Raw genomic sequence first — 20,000 nt, 5'->3', positions numbered from 1 at the left:
CTTCCCCAAGTGCTATACCTTGGCAATGCCACTGCTAATGTTCTCAGAAGTACAACTACTCAAGTCTGTGTTTATTTAATAAATGAAAGTCAGGTCATGTCCATTGCCCACCCACACTGTTCTGCAATTTCATATTTCCTTGTGAAATGACTTGGAGGTTCAAGCTGGATCCTGCCCTGGCTCTGACGCCAGACAATAATACTTCCTGCTCAAACCTCATACCAACTGCAGAGCAGAACTGCTTTGCTGAACAGTTAACACATGTGATGGAGTGATTCTGTATTTTACTTTAATAGATACTTAATTTCTATTACCCTGTCTCCTTGATGTGTCGTCTTTTAGAATTTTATTTCCTTCTAACACAATTTTTCTAATGATATCTTAGTTGTAGGGATATAAACAGCATATGATATTTTTTTTCCCGAACATTTCAGAAGTTTAGTTTTTTTCTGATTTCTGCTTGCTATCCATGGGCCTAGTTTTATCGTAAATATATTTTTATTTGGAGTCAGTTACACTAGAATCTGCTTCTCTGTAAGGGAAAGGAGTTAGTCTGCTATGGACTGCAACTTGTTTTGATAGCTGGTAACTTTGAACTAAAGGGACATTACTGTTATCAAAACAGCAACCAGCTTTTCTTGGAAGTAGAAACTGACATGGTCTTTTTTTCCCCCTTCTTTCTGCCTAAGGTCGTATCCCTTGACTACAAGCACCATCTCTATGTTTTACTGAAGGCTTTTCCCTTTCAAATCTCACAGGCCAACTATAGAAAGATCAGACTCTTGGTCAGAGTCCTCAAAAGGAAACAGTCTGGGGCATCAAAAGGCCATAAATTCAGCCAGAGTAGTGGTATTTGGAAACGACCTTAAGTATCAATCTTAGAATGAAAATATATGACTTTTACATCCAGTTCAATTTTTGAGGTTATTTACTTTTTAGAGAGGCTGAAGAGAAAGGGTTAGTACATCAACTTTCAACCTGAAACATATGGAAGAACGTTAAATACTTTTAATTTTACTAGAAAAAAAAATGTCTGCAAAGTATTTTAACTGAGTGGGTTTTGGCAAACATAAAAACTCAATTAAATAATTTTTTCCTATGAAACTTTTGGCATGTCCCTAAACTGGGTTTTCTTGTAATATTGTCTGAATTAGAAATCAAAATTGAGACAGACATTAACAGTAGTCAATCAAACTCTGATGCAAAAGTTGCCCCATTTAGTGGAAGATCCTGACATCCTGACATCTTCCACTGGAAAAAAAAAAAAGAAAGAATAAAAGTAAAGGAAGTTCAGCTGAGCTGCTATACCATCATGACCAGTGCAACTTTCAATAATGATGTGGCCCTATGCTTTAGAGCACAGTGATATTATTCACAGTTAACTTCTGGACATGTTTTAACAATACAATTATCCTGCCATGCTTATCCTAACCATTGAAAGAGGATAGTTTGTGAAGATTGCAATGTTAAACTTGATATGTTGCCAATATGTATTTTTCTCCTCTGCCTCCTGAAGTTCTTCCAAAATTTCCTTAAATGAAATGTTTATCAAGTCAAAAAAGATAAACCATTTGGGAGATCTCAGTAGATGAAACATTTCAACCAAGTTTTGGAAGATGAGAAGTGTAGGAGAGAGATTACTGAGGTAGCTGAGTGACAGCACTGTAATTCTAAGTGCAGTTATCCCCACTTTGGGATCCTGAGGAGAATAAAGTTGATTCACCCTGAAGAAATCCCAGAGAGGCCTGTAGGCATCAGATTTAGTAAAAAGAAAAAGGGGAAAGTCTGAGGGCTGAGGATAGGAGGAATGGAAGTCTATATGAAAAAGAAATTGCTGGATCTCCTATGGCCAGATGACTACTACCCTCCTGACACCTCCCAGGAGATCATAGTTTTATTCTCTGTAGTTAGTGCCTGGAAAGACTCCATCTATCTTTGGCACACATGGATGTTAGTGAGGCAAGAAGCATAAAACTATTGCATGTGTCCCTTGGTCACTTCCTCAAGATGCACTGTCCCGAAGGAACAACCAAGCATTGATCACATGCCAATGCTCTCATTGCCAAGAAGTATAGAAAGAAAATATTTGTCTCTTAAGGCCTTCTTTAGTGGGGAAAGGACCTCTGCTTTCCAGTAACTTCCACACATTGCAGATACCCACGAAAAGAAATAAATTTTAGAAAATTAATAGAAAAAAAATCACAGATCTATTCCCATATAGATATATGTTTCCCATTAGCCAGATGTTCCCTTCCTCCTATTCTTACCTTTCCCTCAAAAGAGTTACCACCCTACTCAAATATCCCTTTTACAACCCAAAATATAACTACTCCTCTCCAAAAGTAGGCAATCCATAGTCTGATAAATTACTAAATTCCTCCAAGTACAGGATCTCCACTTATTGTAATATGGTAGCACCGGTGCTTATCAGTGCTACCTGATGGGTATCATTGGAAATACACATTTGTATTCCTAAGGATGCTTAATCCTCAGCTATCCACAATTTATAAGGCTGTATTAACCCGCTATCAGCTTTGACTAGACTCATGGTGGTATGAAAGGGGACCAAAAGAGATCACTTGACTTTCATCCACATGACTTCCAGATCCCACAGCATAGCAGAAATTCTACTCACCCCTGATGAAAAAGATAAATCACTCCAGAACATTCCTCCTAATTTTCCTGTTTTCCCAGTAATATTCAATAAGCAACCTGAAAAACAATAGCAGAATATAGCTGAGATAACAGTAATCCCATCATGAAGGGGGATGGGTCACAATTCCATTTATCTCCTGATTGCCCTAAATCCTGCTGTTATCCATGGAGTACAGTCATCGTTTGGGTGCCTAGGAATTATTGTTAGCTTGGAGCCAGCATGCAATAGGCTCTGAAAACTTTAGGTATTTCCCATTCCCTAGTGCATAATCATTTGGTAAAAGACCATAGGTTTCTTTGAGGAAGATTAAAATAAAGATTCACAGTATGTACTTATTATGGTACTGATGCATCCTTCCTTAAGTCTATATTTATTATAAGAGCTCTGATCCTGTGAACTGATTTAGATTTTGGAATTCCATTCTCAGGACCTACCTGAGTCTTAGGCATCACAAGATTTGGTCACCATCAGTCCTATGTACTCTTACGCTACCAACAATCCCCAAGGGCAAGGCCCTTCTGATTACCTATCATAGTAGCCACGTCCACTTTTTTTCTGATTGTTGAATATTCTTATGTGACTTCTGCTACTCTAGGATCTTTCCACCCCATTGACATTAGGGAACTCATTTTCAATTGCAGGACCCCCTTCAACATCCAAAACGTTGCAGAACTTTTCAGAGAACGTAACACCCCTCTCACCAATATATTTATCAAGGCCTTGGTGAAGAGGATATCTTCTGAACCCTCTTAACAAACATGGTTAGGATAGGTGAGTCGATCACAATCAATTCTATTGCTCATTACCTTTGGGTTATTTCCTTATACATCATGCCAAGGAATTTTGGGCATCTAAACTTTAGCATGGGCCATGTTTTAATCCAGATTTTAGCCATTTGGCCAAGAAAACACTTTGATTGAATTGATTATTAAATTCAGTCTAATGTAGTGCTCTTCCTTTCTTGGTACTTCAGAATATCTTCTCACACATATCTCCCAAAGTTTTGTTAAAATAATTGTCCAGTTCTTTTTATTTCTTTGGGGTGAAATCTTCCCTTTTTAGGTTTTAACTTTGAATGTGGTGAAATCTCCTCCTCTTAGGCTTAAAGCTTTGAATCTGGCTTACATGTATATTCCATTCCCCAATTCTAGTAGGATGTGTGCAGACATTGAGGTACAGGCAAGTCTTCAGAAGAACTGACTTACCTTGCAAAGAACTTTTCTTCATCATCTTCAAATCAGATGAAACTGCCTCATCAGACATAAAAGATGGCATAGCTTCAGCTGGCAAAGGAAGCTAGTGAGAGTTAGGGTACAAAGTACATCAAGGTCATTGTATCTTTTGATATCATCCAATATAACTATGCATATTCTTTTATCCCTTCTTAATCAAAATCGCTTTCACATGGAAGACCTGGCATTTCTGTGAACTCCTATAAAGGCATTTGACAATCTGCATTTTCAATCTTTTGCATTTGATTTTCAACACTGTAGCTGCAGCAGAAAATAAATTATTTTAGTGTAATGATGGAAAGTTCCTAAGTTTTATACCTTGAGTCAAAAATTTTGAACTTTAACCTGTGCCCTCTCTATTTTTACTTATTTCCATTAGAAGCAAACACCCGTTCTGGCATCCTGGAAATTGTATGACCTTAATTTTTCTCTAGTATTATATCAATGCAATGCCTCAAAGATTTACCTTTCATTGAAACCTCATTATTGGTAACCACAAGTGGTAATTAGTTGTTTTGTCATTGCATGCCATAAGCTACCAGAAACTCACCGGACATTAACTGGATTTTTCACTGCCTGCAATTCCAGGTTAACCAGAGATAAGGTTCTTCTCTCCCTGGGGTTTTGAGACCATTGACTTTCTGGTGCCAAGCACCATAGAAGTTAAATCCTTGATTGTAAATGCATAAAACTGACTTTGGCTAATTGATTTCAAAATCAAATTATTTAGTAGACTATTAGTAGTTCACAGAATCAACAGGAATGCTGGAAAATAGCTCAGAAAATGAAAAGAATGGCTCAGAAAATGACAAGAAGCAAAAGAGACATGGCAGTCAAGAAAAGAGCCAATGTCATAACCTAGGAACAGTCTAGTTAGGATGCCACCATTGGTGCCACCCCAACTAAACACCCTCTATGGAGCCACTGGACTCTACCTTGGCTGAGCATAGGTCATATGTCCAAGCCCTGACTGCCCCGGAGTATGGAGAAGGAATATACAATTGACTTCCAACCCCCGCACAATGAAGCATTCTCTCCAAGTAGAAACAGTGCTTGAACGGTGGCTAGCAAAACTAACCAAATGCTTACTACATTTTAAAAAATGTTCTAATATCCATCTATTCAATAATAAGTTTAAAAGTTGATAATAAAACAAAATTTGATAATTTCACACTGCATGCATTACCTTGAGTTTTAAATGTTTTTTAAACTAAGAACATCCTCAGATAAGAAGTGTACAGAAGATTCTAAATATTTATCAAATTCTCATTCACCAAAGCATCAAACTTCACTCCTTTCAGGCAATGGCCACAGTTTTCTTTATTCTCTAAGCAACTGTGTCTTACTATCTCATGTAGTAGGTTTGAAAGAAGTAAAGGTACAGGAGAAAAGTGCTCTTATACTGTATTTCTGTGTGATATCTTAGAAACAAATCACTTACTGCATTTTATTATATATTTATTTATCTTTCCTTTAGTATAGACTATTAGCTCCACCAGTGAAAAAGCTATTTCAGAATTATATCTGTACTTAGCATAGAAGAAAACATCAATACATATTTGTGGAATTTAAATAATTAATAATCACTTTGCTTTGGAATTTAGTGGGATAGAACATATACCTAGAGAGGATACAGTCATGGGTTGGTTACAAATATAGTTCAGAAAAAAACTGAAAAAACATCCATTATTTTTTCATCAAGGATTGCACAAAAAATACAATCAGCTGTCTCAGAAATGAGAGCCCTCCATCACAAGGCTAGTGATCTATAAGTGTAGACTGCCCACAGCAGCCCATCAATATCAAAAGCAGAAACTTTTAAAACTGAAAAGTTAGCCTTGATTTTGTAATATAAAATAGTGATTTAATTTTTCTATCAATTATTTTTTCTTGTGTTTGTAAGGGAAATAGGGATTGAAATCATTTGATATAGCTAGTATTGTTATTAAATTAACTTCACCTGTTTTATTACTCTTTTAATGTGGCTATCAGAAAAGTTTACATGACATATACGGCTCATGTTAAACTTCTACAAGGCAACACTGGTTTAGAGCATTGAACATGGCGTTTCACACATCGTAGATGATTTCCAAAATTAACTACTCCAAATTTATATTTAGTTATGTATACCTTATATGTCTGTAGCAGCATACTTTGCTGATAAGCAGGTTTCCCTGTTGTAGATATTTATGTATTTCTGTATGTATAATACGTATGCACACACATACATATACACAGCACAGCATGTGCTCATACATTAAGCTCCACCATTGTCTATCTATATACATGTAATAATGTAGTATACTGGCAGTTTAAAAACCATCTCATATCCCTATGTATACTTCGGTTCTCTCATTGGTAAAATGATTTTACCTTCATCATAGCATTGTTAGAAGAATTAAATGAGATTATTCTTAGCAAAATGGTTGATAAACGGGTTAGCACTTAATGAATTTTAGTTACCATAGCTAACCAAAGACCAAACACAATATATTCCACAACTATAGTTAGTTAAATCAAGTATTATTCTAAGTATGGGTTGTTTAAAATCGAAAACACTTGGAAAAGAAATGTTATACAAACAAAGACTTACACGGCATTTTACCATATAGAAACCATTTCCACTTAATTGTATTTTTTAAATTTCAACAGGTTTTTGGGGAAAAGTTGATGTTAGGTTACAGCGATGGTGATTTCTGAGATTATCGTGAGATTATCATGCACCCGTGACCCGAACAGTGTGCACTGTACCCAATATGTCGTCTTTTATCCCTCGCCCCACCTCCCAGCCTTTCCCCAAGTCCCCAAAGTCCTTTGTATCATTCTTACACCTTTGCATCCTCATAGCTTAGCTCCCACTTGTGAGTGAGGACATACGATGTTGTTTTTATTCCTGAGTTACTTCACTTAGAATATTGATCTCCAATTCCATCCAGGTTGCTGCGAATGCCATTATTTTGTTCCTTTTTATGACTGAGTATGATTCCATGGTGTATATATATATATATATATACACACACACACACACATACACATACTACATTTTCTTTATCCACTCATTGATCGCATTTGGGATGGTTCCATGTTTTTGCAGTTGCAAATTGTGCTGCTATAAACATGCGTGTGCAAGTATCTTTTTCGTATGATGACTTCTTTTTCTCTGAGTAGATACCCAGTATTGAGATTGCTGGATCAAATGGTAGATCTACTTTTAGTTCTTCAGGGAATCTCCATGCTGTTTTCCATAGCGGCTATACTAGTTTACATTCCCACCAACAGTGTAAAAGTATTCCCTTTTCACTACATCCATGCCAACATCTATTATTTTTTGCTTTTTTGATTATGGCCATTCTTGCAGGAGTAAGGTGGTATCACATTGTGGTTTTGATTTGCATTTCCCTGCTCATTAGTGAAGTTGACCATTCTTTCATATGTTTGTTGGCCATTTGTGTATCTTCTTATAATTGTCTATTCATGTTCTTAACCCTTTTCTTTCTTTTCTTGTTTTATGTTTCATTTTATTTTACTTTAAGTTCCAGGATACTTGTGCAGAACATGCAGGTTTGTTACACAGGTGTACATGTGCCGTGGTGCTTTGCCGCACCTATTGACCCATCCTCTAAGTTTCCTCCCCTTGCCTCCCACCCCCTAAGAGGCACTGGTGTGTGTTGTTCCCCTCCCTGTGTCCATGTGTTCTCATTGTTCAGCTCTCACTTATGAGTGAAAACATATGTTAAACCACCTTTTCATGGGATTGTTTGGTTTGTTCTTGCTGATTTGTTTGAGTTCCTTGTATATTCTGTATATTAGTCCTTTCTCAGATCCATAGTTTGTGAAGATTATCTCCCAGTCTGTGGGTTATCTGTTTACTTTGCTGATTATTTCTTTTCTTGTGCAGAAGCTTTTTAGTTTAATTAAGTCCCATCTATTTATCTTTGTTTTTGTTGCATTTGCCTTTGGGTTCTTGTTCATGAAGTCTTTGCCTAAGCCAATGTCTAGAAGGGTTTTTCCAATGTTATCTTCTAGAATTTTTATGGTTTTAGGTTTCAGATTTCAGCCTTTGATCCATGTTGAGTTGATTGTTGTATAAGGTGAAAGATGAGGATCCAGTTTCATTCTCCTACATGCGGCTAGCCAATTATCCCAGCACCATTTGTTAAATAAGCTGTCCTTTCCCCGACTTTGTTTTTGTTTGTATTGTTAAAGATAAGTTGGCTGTTAAGTATCTGGCTTTATTTCTGGTTCTCTATTCTGTTCCATTGGTTTGTGTGCCTATTTTTAGTACCAGTACAATGCTGCTTTGGTGACTATGGCCTTACAGTATGGTTTGAAGTCAGGTAATGTGATGCCTCCAGATTTGTTCTTTTTGCTTAGTTTTGCATTGGCTACATGAGCTCTTTTTTGGTTCCATATAAATTTTAGGATTATTTTTTCTAGTTCTGTGAAGAATGATCGTGGTATTTTGATTGGAATTGCATTGAATTTGTAGATTGCTTTTGGCAGCATGATCATTTTCACAATATTGATTCTACCCATCCATGAGCATGGGATGCATTTTAATTTGTTTGTGTTGTCTATGATTTCTTTCATCAATGTGTTTTGTAGCTTTCCTTGTAGAGGTCTTTCACCTCCTTGATTAGGTATAGTCTTAAGGTTTTTTGTTTTGTTTTGTTTTCTGTTTTTGTTTTTATTTTCTGCAGCTGTTGTTAAAGAGGTTGTGTTCTTGATTTGATTCTCAGCTTGGTCGCTGTTGGTGTATAGCAGGACTACTGATTTGTGTACATTAATTTTGTATTTTGAAACTTTACTGAATTCATTTATCAGTTCCAGGAGCTTTTTAGATGCGTCTTTAGGGTTTTATAAGAATAGGATGATATCATCAGTGAACAGCAACAGTTTGACTCCCTCTTTGCTGATTTGGATGCTCTTTCTTTCTTTCTCTTGTCTGATTGCTTTGCGTAGGACTTCCAGTACTATGTTGAATGTAAGTGGTAAAAGTGGGCATCCTTGTCTTGTTCCAGTTCTCAGGGGAATGCTTTCAACTTTCCCCGTTCAATATAATGTTGGCGGTGGATTTGTCATAGATGGCTTTTATTACCTTAAGATATGTCCCTTCTAGGCCAGTTTTACTGAGGGTTTTAATCATAAAGGGATGTTGGATTTTGTCAAATGCTTTTTCTGAGTCTATTAAGATGTTCATGTGATTTTTGTTTTTAATTCTGTTTATGTGGTGTATCATATTTATTGACTTGCATATGTTAAACCATCTGTCCATCTCTGGTATGAAACCCACTTGATCATGGTGGATTATCTTTTTTGTATGTTATTGGATTCAGTTAACTAGTATTTTGTTGAGGATTCTTGTATGTATGTTCATCAGGGATATTAGTCTGTAGTTTTCTTTTCTGTTATGTCCTTTCCTGGTTTTGGTGTTACGGTGATAATGATTTATCATTATTATAGAATGATTTAGGGAGGATTCCCTCTTTCTCTATCTCGTGGAATAGTGTCAAAAGGACTGGTGCAAATTCTTCTTTGAATGTCTGATAGAATTCAGCTGTGAAACCATCTGGTCCTGGACTTTTTTTTTTGTGGCATTTTTTAAATTACCATTTTAATCTTGCTGCTTGCTACTGGTCTGTTCAGAGTTTTTATTTCTTCCTGGTTTAATCTAGGAGGGCTGTATATTTCCAGGAATTTATGTATCTCCCCTAGGTTTCCTAGTTTGTGCAATTAGAGGTGTCCATAGTAGGCTTGAATGATGTTTTGTATTTTTGTGGTATTGTTTGTAATATCTTCCATTTCTTTTCTAATGCAGCTTATTTGGATCTTGTCTCTTCTATTCTTGATTAATTTCACTAATGTTCTACCCATTTTATTTATCTTTTCAAAAAACATCTTTTGTTTAATTTAATTTTTGTGTTTTTTTGTTTCAATTTCATTTACTTCTGCTTTGATCTTGGTTATTTCTTTTCTTCTGCTGGGTTTGGGTTTTAGTTTGTTCTTGTTCCTCTAGCTCCTCGAGGTGTGACCTTAGATTGTTTATTTGTGCTGTTTCAGACATTTTCATGTAGCCATTTAATGCCATGAACTTTTCTCTTAGTACTGCCTTTGCTGTATCCCAGAGGTTTTGAGAGGTTGTGTCACTATTATCGTTCAGTTCAAATAATTTTTTAATTTTGATCTTGAATTTATTATTGATCCAACGATTATTCAGGAGCAGGTTATTTAATTTTCATGTATTTGCATGGTTTTGAGGGTTCCTTTTGGAGTTGATTTCAAATTTTTTCCACTGTGGTCTGAGAAAGTATTTGATATAATTTTGATTTTCTTTAATTTGTTGAGACCTGTTTTGTGGCCTATTATATGGTTTATCTTGGAGAATGTTCCATATGCTGATGAAAAGACTGTATGTTCTGCAGTTGTTAAGTAGAACATTCTGTAAATATCTGTTAAGTTAATTTGTTCTAGGGTATAGTTTAAGTCCATTGTTTTTTGTTGACTTTCTGTCTTGATGACCTCTCTAGTGCTGTCAGTGGAGTACTGAAGTCCCCCACTATTATTGTGTTGCTGTCTATCTCATTTGTTAGGTATAGTAGTAATTGTTTCATAAATTTGGGAGCTCCAGTGTTAAGTGCATACATATTTAGGATTGTGATATTTTCCTGTTAGACTAGTGATTATATAATGACTTTTATCAGTACATAATATCTTTCTTTGTCTTTTTTAACTGTTATTGCTTTAAAGTTTTTTTTTTCTGATGTAAGAATAGCTACTCCTGCTCACTTTTGGTGTCCATTTGCATGGAATAACATTTTCCGCCCCTTTACCTTAAATTTATGTAAGTCCTTATGTGTTAGGTGAGTCTCTTGAAGAAAGAAGATACTTGGTTAGTGAATTTGTATCTATTCTGCCATTCTGCATCCTTTAAGTGGAGCATTTAGGCCATTTATATTCAACATTAGTATTGAGATGTGACGTACTATTCTATTCATTGTGCTATTTTTTGCCCAAATACCTTGGTTTTCATTGTGTTTTTGTTTTATAGGTCCTGTGAGATTTATGCTTTAAGGAGATTCTATTTTGGTGTATTTCAAGGATTTATTTCAAGATTTAGAGCTCCTTTTAACAGTTCTTATAGTGCTGGGGTGGTAGTGTCAAATTCTCTCAGCATTTGCTTGTCTGAAAAACATTGTATCTTTCCTTCATTTATGAAGCTTAGTTTCACTGGATACAAAATTCATGGCTGTTTATCGTTTTGTTGTTTAAGGAAGCTAAAGATAGGGCACAAATCCTTTCCAGCTTGTAAGGTTTCTGCTGAGAAGTCTGCTGTTAATCTGATAGGTTTTCCTTTATATGTTACCTGATGCAGATTTTTTCCTTCATCTTGACTTTAGATAACCTGATGACTACGTGCATAGGTTATTAACTTTTTGCAATGAACTTCCCAGGTGTTCTTTGAGCTTCTTCTATTTGGATGTCCAGGTCTCTAGCAAGGCTGGAGAACTTTTATTATTCCCTCAAATATGTTTTCCAAACATTTACATTTCTCTTCTTCCTCAGGAACACCAATCATTCTTAGGTTTGGTCATTTAACATAATCCCAAACTTCCTGGAGGCTTTGTTCATTTTTTTCTTTGCCTTTGTCAGATTGGGTTAATTCAAAAGACTTGTCTTCAAGCTCTGAAATTCTTTCTTCTACTTCTTTGATTCTATTGTTGAGACTTTCCAGTGTATATTGCATTTCTCTAAGTGTGTCCTTCATTTCCAGAAGTTGTGTTTGATTTTTATTTATGCTATCTATTTCTCTGGAGATTTTTCCATCCATATCCTGTAACATTTTTTAATTTAAGTTGATATTCACCTTTCAGCAGTTTAATAATCAACCTTCTGAATTCTTTTTCTGGCAATTCAGAGATTACTTCTTGGTTTGGATCCATTGCTGGTGAGCTATGTGGTCTTTCAGGGATGTTAAAGAACCTAGTTTCGTCGTATTACCAGAATTGTTTTTCTGGTTCCTTCTCACTTGGGTAGACCTATGTGAGAGGGAAGATTTGGGGCTTAAAGGCTACTGTTCAGATTATTTTGTTCCATGGGTTGCTCCCTTCATGTGGTGCTCTCCCCTTCCCCTAGGAATGGGGCTTCCTGAGAGCCAAACTGCAGTGATTGTTATTTCTCTGCTGAGTTTCACCAGCCAGTAGAGCTACCAGGCTCTCGGCTGGTACTGGGGAGTGTCTGCAAAGAGTCCTGTGATGTGATCTGTCTTCATGTCTCTCAGCCATGGATACTAGCACCTGCTCCAGTAGAGGTAGCAGAGGAGTGAATTGGACTTTGTGAGGGTCCTTGGTTATAGTTTTGTTTAGTGTGTTGGTTTTGTGTTGTTTGGCCTCCAGCTAGGAGGTGGCACTTTCAGGAGAGCATCAGCTGCAATAGTATAGGGAGGACACAAGATTGCCCTAGGGTTGCCTGGATAAATATTTGGGTTTCTCAGTTGGTGGGCAGGGCCATAGAGCCCCCAAGAGATTACGTCCTTTGTCTTTGGCTACCAAGGTAGATAGGGAAAGACCCTAAGGTGGGGGCAGGTTTAGAGGTGTCTGAGCTCAGACTTTCCTTGGGTGGGGCTTGCTGTGGCTGCTGTAGGGGATGGAGGTATGGCTCTCAGACCTATGGAGTTATGTTTTCAGGGGGATTATGACACCCTCGCTGTGTCATACAGGTTGCCAGGGAAGTGGGGAAAAGCTGGCAGTGATAGGCCTCACCCAGCTCCCACACAGCCAAAAGGCTGGTCTCATTCCCACCATTCCCACCCCTCCCCCCCCGCCCCCGCAATAGCACTGATTTTATTTCCAGGCAGCAGATGAGCAGGGCTGAGAAGCTGAGAACTTGCCCTAGGCTCTAAGCCTCCCCACTGAGAAAGCAAGCAGGGCTTTCAGGAATCCTGCCCACCACCTGCTGTGGCTTCTGTGCTCATATCTGCACTCCCCTTTCACCCCCTCCCCTAGATTCTATCCAGGAAACTTCACATTAGATCGAAATTATTACAAAGTTCAGATGGAAGTTTCCTTCTCCCTGTGGTCTTTCCCCAAACCACTGGCAGCTCTCTCCAAGGACCCCTGTGAGACAAAGTCAAAAATGGCTTCCCTTTGGACCCAGAGTGCCCACAGGGCTCTTCCCACTGCTTCTTCTAGCCATGTATTTCACTTGGCTAATTGTATCCTCACATCATTCTGACAAGTTGGTTACAACAAGAAATAATGTTATCTCATTCTTAAGAAGAGAAGAATAAAACATAGAAACATTGAGTTGCCCATGATCATATAACTTGTCAGTCTGTGTTTTCTGACGCCACATACCATGTGTCTGCCACCAGATTATAATGTCTTTGTTCACAGATTAAATGTGCTCCCTCTCAGCTTTGGAAAACTTTACACACTTGAATCAAAGCCATTTTCATGCTTCCAAGATATATTTTAATTTTCATAGGTCATGTCTTTTCTTGACCAAATCATACCCCGAGAAAGAAAAATACTTTTATTCTTGACTTTCTGGAAGTTTTGATGGCCTTCTGGAGTCATATAACCTTGACAGAGTTGGCAAAGGAATTCAAAGCATTCATTTGAAATATGGGCAGAAAAGCATCTTACAAAATCAGTTTTACTAAGACAGAACTGTTAACCTGAACTTTAATGCCTTAGGCAAGCGTTATAAAACAACATCAAAGGGTAGAAACAACTTTCAAATTATGTTTTCTCTTTGAAGTATAAATTGGAAAAACAAACTTTGAGAAACTTATGTAAAGAGGGGAAGTGTTTTAAGAAATGGCCTGGGAAAATGTACCAAATAAATATATAAACATAAATGAATTCTAGTAGTGTGTTTCAGTGTATTTGATATACAAATAATTTATATATTACAGAAGTTACGTCATCACGCCCAAAAGTCCTTTTTCACTTTCTACCTCCTTAGTGTTCCTCACCAGTGACATTCTCTTTGTTCTTACTACTATTAACCCAGTTTTAGAAGCTTATTATTTCTTCCCTGAATGCAATTGAAATGTTCAATTCAGGCTGGGCACTTTGGGAGGCCGAGGTAGGCAGATCACTTGAAGCCAAGAATTTGAGACCAGCCTAGGCAACATAGTGAAACCCTCATCTCTACTAAAAATATAAAAATTAGTCAGGTGCAGTGATGCACTCCTGTAATTCCAGCTACTTGGGGAGCTGAGGCATGAGAATCATTTGAACCCAGAAAGCAGAGGTTGCATTGAGCTGAGATTGCACCAGTGTACTCCAGCCTGGGAGCCTTTATGACAGAGTGAGACTCTGTATCAAAAGAAAAGAAAAGAAAGAAACATTTAATTCAAAATATTTTTACCAATGCCCATTTTATTCATGGCTCAATGGTGGTCCTTTGAGAGATACAGACAAGAATATGTCTGTATGGCTATTGCTTTAAAGAAATTCACAGACTACAACAAGACATACACAGATACAACTACTGATGGCATAAATTGGGTTTGGTTGGGGCTAAAATAAAAATATAACTAATGGGAGAATGGTAGAGAGAAGACTATTCTGGCTGAGATATGGGAAAACTTCACACAGGTTTGAATTGGAACTTACCTATTACAATAGTCTACAAATGGGTTTCACTTGTCAGCATATATCACCTCACCAAATTATACATTATAGTACTACCAGAAATAACTTTCTAAAACTAAAATCCATATATGCCACCTCATATTCTCAAATCTTTTTACATCTTTCTATAGCCTTCAATGCAAAAATTAAAAGGAAAGTGCACAGCATGGAATTGGGTTTCCACCTACCATATTGGGCTCATCTAAGTTTAAACATTGTTCGCAGCTCCCAGCTCTATTTATCACTGGGAATTGCCCCTAGTTGCAGAAAACTGTCTTCCCCAAGGTTATAACCTTTCCAAGGAATTTCCCATTGCCAATGACTAACAGATGCACAGATATAAAGACACGGCCAAATTACCTCAATTCAGTGCACCTCTGAAAGGTCTTCCTAGCTCAAGAGCTTCTGAGGATTGACCAACTCCTCAGAGCACCTGTGCCACAGGTCAATTTCTCTTTCTTTCAAAAGTCTTATCCTATAAATCTTCTGCATCAACTTTTCTTATCAGAATCTGGTCCCAAGGAACTCCATCCAAGATGCAAAGAGCCAGTGATTACACCCAACACACATCATGGCCATCAGGCTCTAGAGTCAGACTGCCTGTCCACAAATCCTTTCTCAATCACTTTGTTCAGAATTAACTGCTTCTTTTGTACACATTGTGCTCCTTTTGTTTTAGCATGTATTTATCTCACTTACATTACTGTGAGTTGGTAATGTATCTTCCTGCCTTGTGGTTATACCCTATTTTGAATTTTTTACGTTCTCGACCCAATAATACTTAGTAAAGTATATGATACTTCATCTCTCAACAAAAATTATGGGACTCAGTGAATAAACGTCATACATAACTTTAAGAAAATTTTTAAAACTGCTAGAAGTAAATGTTACCCCAGATTCCCCGTGCTTTGTCCTTTTTGCCTCTTTCTGGTTGTCTCTTACACCTCCTTGTGGGTACCGGATGTCTTCCTGGTTCCATTTATTGCCTTCGATGTTGAAGTTTACTCTCAAGATACCGCCTAAACTTCTTACAAGGTATAGAAGGCTCCTCAAGACCTGGAAAAGCCTTAGAAAATGCTTTTCCTGGCTTAACACTTTTTAATTTTTTAATTTTTATTTTTATTTTTATTTTATTTTTTGAGATGGAGTCTCCCTCTGTCGCCCAGGCTGGAGTGCAGTGGTGCGATCTCGGCTCGGATCTGCAAACTCCGCCTCCTGGGTTCATGCCATTCTCCTGCCTCAGCCTCCAGAATAGCTGGGACTACAGGCGCCCGCCACCACCACGCACGACTAATTTTTTGTATTTTTAGTAGAGACGGGGTTTCACCTCTGGCTTAACACTCTTTAATCCTACAATCAATCTATCCACGTAGGACGATTCTATATGTGCTAAATTCCTGCCTCTGTACATTAGCTCACACTGTTTCCTCAATCTGGAATCCTCCTCTCCTGAATACTACCAGTCCTTCATGAAGAACTGACCTCAGATGACAGGTCTTTCAGAAAACTATCTCTGAAAATACCAAAGAGAGTAATTTTTCCTCTACATTCTCATATCACTCTGTGACATTCAACATAACATATAATAAGTCACTCACCAAGCATTTGTAAAATGTTGCCCATATTTATATAGCATGTAATAAAACAACGTATGGAAATACATGATTAGAAAATAGGATGATGGCTTCATTTTTTATGTCCTTTTGTAATGTCCTACCTACACCTTTTTTGTGAGTTTATCATAATACTTAGTCATTGCTTATTTTCTGGTGCTCTTCTTCATTAAGTTATCAGCACCTTTACTCAGGGTTTTCTATCTCTGGTTCTTACATGTCTGGCCCATAGTGAAGGCTCTTTAATTCTTGGTAAATGTCTGTCATTCCCACCAAGCTGTGAGGTCACAAAATGTCTCTGCCTTCTTCATGTCTCTATCCCCAGAATCTCCCATAGTGTTCAGAATATGAGAGATGCATAAAACATTTTTGTTCAATGAATGAATAAATCATAGCGTTTGTCAAATATTATCTGTATTATAGATATCATTGCATTCAGTTTCTTCTACTAGGTGGAAAGCTACTGATATTCAGGGATTGTGACTTATCCTTCTTTACATTTTCTGCCCCAAATACCATGTTATAGACTTTTAATGTAGAAGTGATCAAATGAAGAGAGGTGGTTGACCATATGAAGTAAATAAATGTCCAAATGGTTACAGAATAGTCTTCAACAGAAAGAATTAAACTCAGGTAACATATTTTCTGACTTCAGCAAACTAATTGTTTTGAGAAGAGAAAAAAAATTTTAAACTATACCACTTAGTCCTACACAAAACATTTATTGGTAACCAAAATGAACTTCTGAAATGAAAGGACTTACAATGCTTATTAATGGCGTTTCACAATCATACCAAATGGAATTGGCAAGAAAAGAAAAATAGAGAAGAATCACACAATTCATGCTATAATGAAAATCACATTTTTCATTCTTTAATTACTTGATGGTTGTTTATTACTTAAGAGCTCCAATTTCTGGTAAAACTGCAAAGAAGAGATGAGTCTTCCCATTTTAGTGGTCTTTTTCTCTCTATTGTCCCAAACGTTTTTCTAATGAGACATCCCAAGCACATATCACCTCAAACTTCTTCAGACTACAAAATACAACCACGTATGGTTGTATCTGCACAGCACAGAAAGAACAAAACAACCAGCCAAAAAATCAGTAATTCAAGGAAAAGCAAAACTCTCACTTACTACAAAATAGAGATAACAATCAATTCATAATGTATTGTTTTTCTCATGACTTTTTTTTACAATGTGAGAAGCCAATTTTATTAGCTCCTTCATTTTAAAAAGGAAGTTCCTCAGAGTGGAAGACCAAACATCTTATGTTCTCACTCATAAGTGGGAGATAAGCTATGAAAATGCAAAGGCATAAAAATGATATAATGAACTTTGGGGACTTGTGGGGAAAGGGTGGGATGGGGGCGAGGGATAAAAGGCGACAAATTGGGTTCAGTGTATACTGCCCAGGTAATGGGTGCACCAAAATCTCACCAGTCACCACTAAAGAACTTATCATGTAACCAAATACCACCTGTTCCCCAAAAACCTATGGTAACAAAAAATTAAAAACAAATAAAAATAAAATTTCATGTTAGAAAAAAGCAAGTTCCAAACGTGTACTTAGCTTTGCTACAGAATGTTGTCCATATTTGTGCAGCATCTAATAAGTTAAAGAAGAAAAACCAATGACCATAAATCACTGCAATAAGTACACATTCTCTTGGTCCCTCTTCAGTTCTTTAATATCCATGTATAGCTCGTGTATACTAGTGTTATCATTGTGCTTATAAACATTTATTTTCAGATATATCTTTTACATTAAATGATTAGTTCTTTAAGACAGAAACTGTCTTCTATATCTGTATCCTAAGTGCCTAGTCTGTGGTAATAACTGTCAGCTTAATAAGTTAAGTAATGAAATAATGGTTTGTTGTACAATATATACAAAAGTAATATATTTGGATCATGAATACTGTTCTTGTTTAGCAATTTAAACCATTTTAATTCTACTAAATCTAAACACTCCCAGGCCACATATTAATTTACCAGTGTTAAAATGCTATCTCATTCTGTTATAAGATTGCATAAACATAAGGCAAAGAAGTGTAAACATATGAGGACTACTCACATAAAGACAGTACGCAGCCCAAAGTATGTTCTCTCTTGTAAGCAGTGATCAGCCTTTTTGAAGAGCCCTCATTATCAAATGAAGCCAAAATTTTTAACAGCTTTAATGAGGCACAATTGATATACAAAGACCTGCACACATTTGATGTGTATAATTTGATGAGTTTAGACATATGCAAACACCAGTGATAACACCACCACAATCAAGGTAATAAACATACCCAACACTCCCAAAGTTTCTTTGTGTCCCATTTTTGTGATAAGAATACTTAACATAAAATCTACCCAGTTAATAAATTTTGAACTGTACAATGCATTATTATTAACTATAAGTATTATGTTATACAGCAGATCTCTATAACTTCTTTATCTAGCGCAAGTAAAGCTTTACATCCATTGAACAAGTCCCTATTTCCCTCACCCCCAACCCCTGGCAACTGCATTGTATTCTCTGCCTCTGTAAGTTTTACTATTATAGATATCTCATGTAAGCAGAATCAGGCAGTATATTCACCCCTCTGCGCCTGGCTTATTCTACTTAGTATAATGTTCTCCAGTTGTCACAGATGGCAGGATTCCCTTCTTTTATGGCTAAATAATTCCATTGTATGTATATACCACATTTTCTTTATCTATTCATCTGTCACTGGACACTTGGGTTGTTTACATATCTTGGCTACTGTGAATAATGCTGCAATGAGCATCAGTGTGCAAATGTCTCTCTGAGATCCTCATTTTAATTATTTTGGATATATGCCCAGATTTGGAATTGCTGGATCATATGGTAGTTCCTTTTAAATTTTTTTGAGTAACCTCCATACTGTTTTCCATAACTGCTAGACCATTTTACATTCCCACCAATGGTGTACAAGTGTTCTAATTCTTCGAAGTCCCCACCAACACTTATATTTTGGATTTTTGATATTAGCCATTCTAACAGGTGTGAGGTGATAAATTCTCATAGTTTTGATTGCATTGCCCTGACAATTAATGATGTTGAACATCTTTTCATACACTTGCTGGCCATTTGTATGTCTTCTTTGGATTAATATCTGCTCAAGTTCTTCTTTTTAAAAGCCAGATGAGCCTATACCATTTTTAGCTGTGATACAGGATATGTATGGCCCCTTACAAGTCAGAACTATAGTATCTGTCTCTGAACTTCAAAGTCTTTTAAAAGGGATTCTGCAAATGAGAACAAACAGATTATCAAAAACCTATCTTTTAATGGGTTTTGCAATGTTTGCACCTACTTTTCAATATCAACTGCCTCTCCTGTTTAATTGACATAAATGGTAAGTCCAGTGAAGGCAAAAGACCAGGACAGGAGTGGTGATTAGACAGGTCTGAGGCCACAGGACTTGCCTTGTTTACAGAATAATCTATGGACTCTCGAAGCAATATACATATATGCCTTACTTAACCTTCAAAACGGCTTGATGACATAGGGCACTAATATCATTTTACAGATAACAAACTGAAGAATAGATTCAAGAAACTTACCCAAGGTGACACAACTAGTAAGCAGCAGATCTCATTCAAGTGCTGACAGGCTGCAATTGCTGGTTTTCTAATCTCTTTTTCTGTATTTTGGGGCATGGTAGAATGTCTGGCATATAGCTGGCACTCAGTAAATGCAGAATAGATGGATGACCAATACTGATGCTAGAAGGTTCTACAAATCAAGCTCTCTATCAATCAAGTTGAACAAAATAAGACTTTTGACTCATAATAATATTATTTTGACTCAAAAAAATTGTAAGTCAGTCAGAGGCAGGTCCTG

At 36.8% G+C, this 20,000-nt stretch overlaps 1 long non-coding RNA gene and 1 other non-coding gene across 3 annotated transcripts in view; both read right to left on the bottom strand.

Moving 5' to 3' along the window:
* The window catches only part of MIR2052HG (MIR2052 host gene), a 158,596-nt gene that overhangs the window by 52,035 nt on the left and 86,561 nt on the right, over positions 1 to 20,000 (bottom strand). For both annotated transcript variants that reach the window (NR_197229.1, NR_033830.1), the window contains exons 3-4: positions 3,862 to 3,939; positions 2,636 to 2,712 (exon numbers count right to left, since the gene is read on the bottom strand). This is a non-coding gene — a long non-coding RNA (MIR2052 host gene). The remainder of the gene's footprint in view (positions 1 to 2,635; positions 2,713 to 3,861; positions 3,940 to 20,000) is intronic.
* MIR2052 (microRNA 2052) lies at positions 571 to 625 on the bottom strand. Its single transcript, NR_031744.1, has one exon. It is a non-coding gene; the product is annotated as a microRNA 2052 (primary transcript).

Source organism: Homo sapiens, chromosome 8 (assembly GCF_000001405.40).
Source record: "Homo sapiens chromosome 8, GRCh38.p14 Primary Assembly".
NCBI lineage: Eukaryota > Metazoa > Chordata > Mammalia > Primates > Hominidae > Homo > Homo sapiens.
The sequence above is the reverse complement of the archived record's forward strand: the minus strand, read 5'-3'. Positions and strand labels throughout refer to the sequence as shown.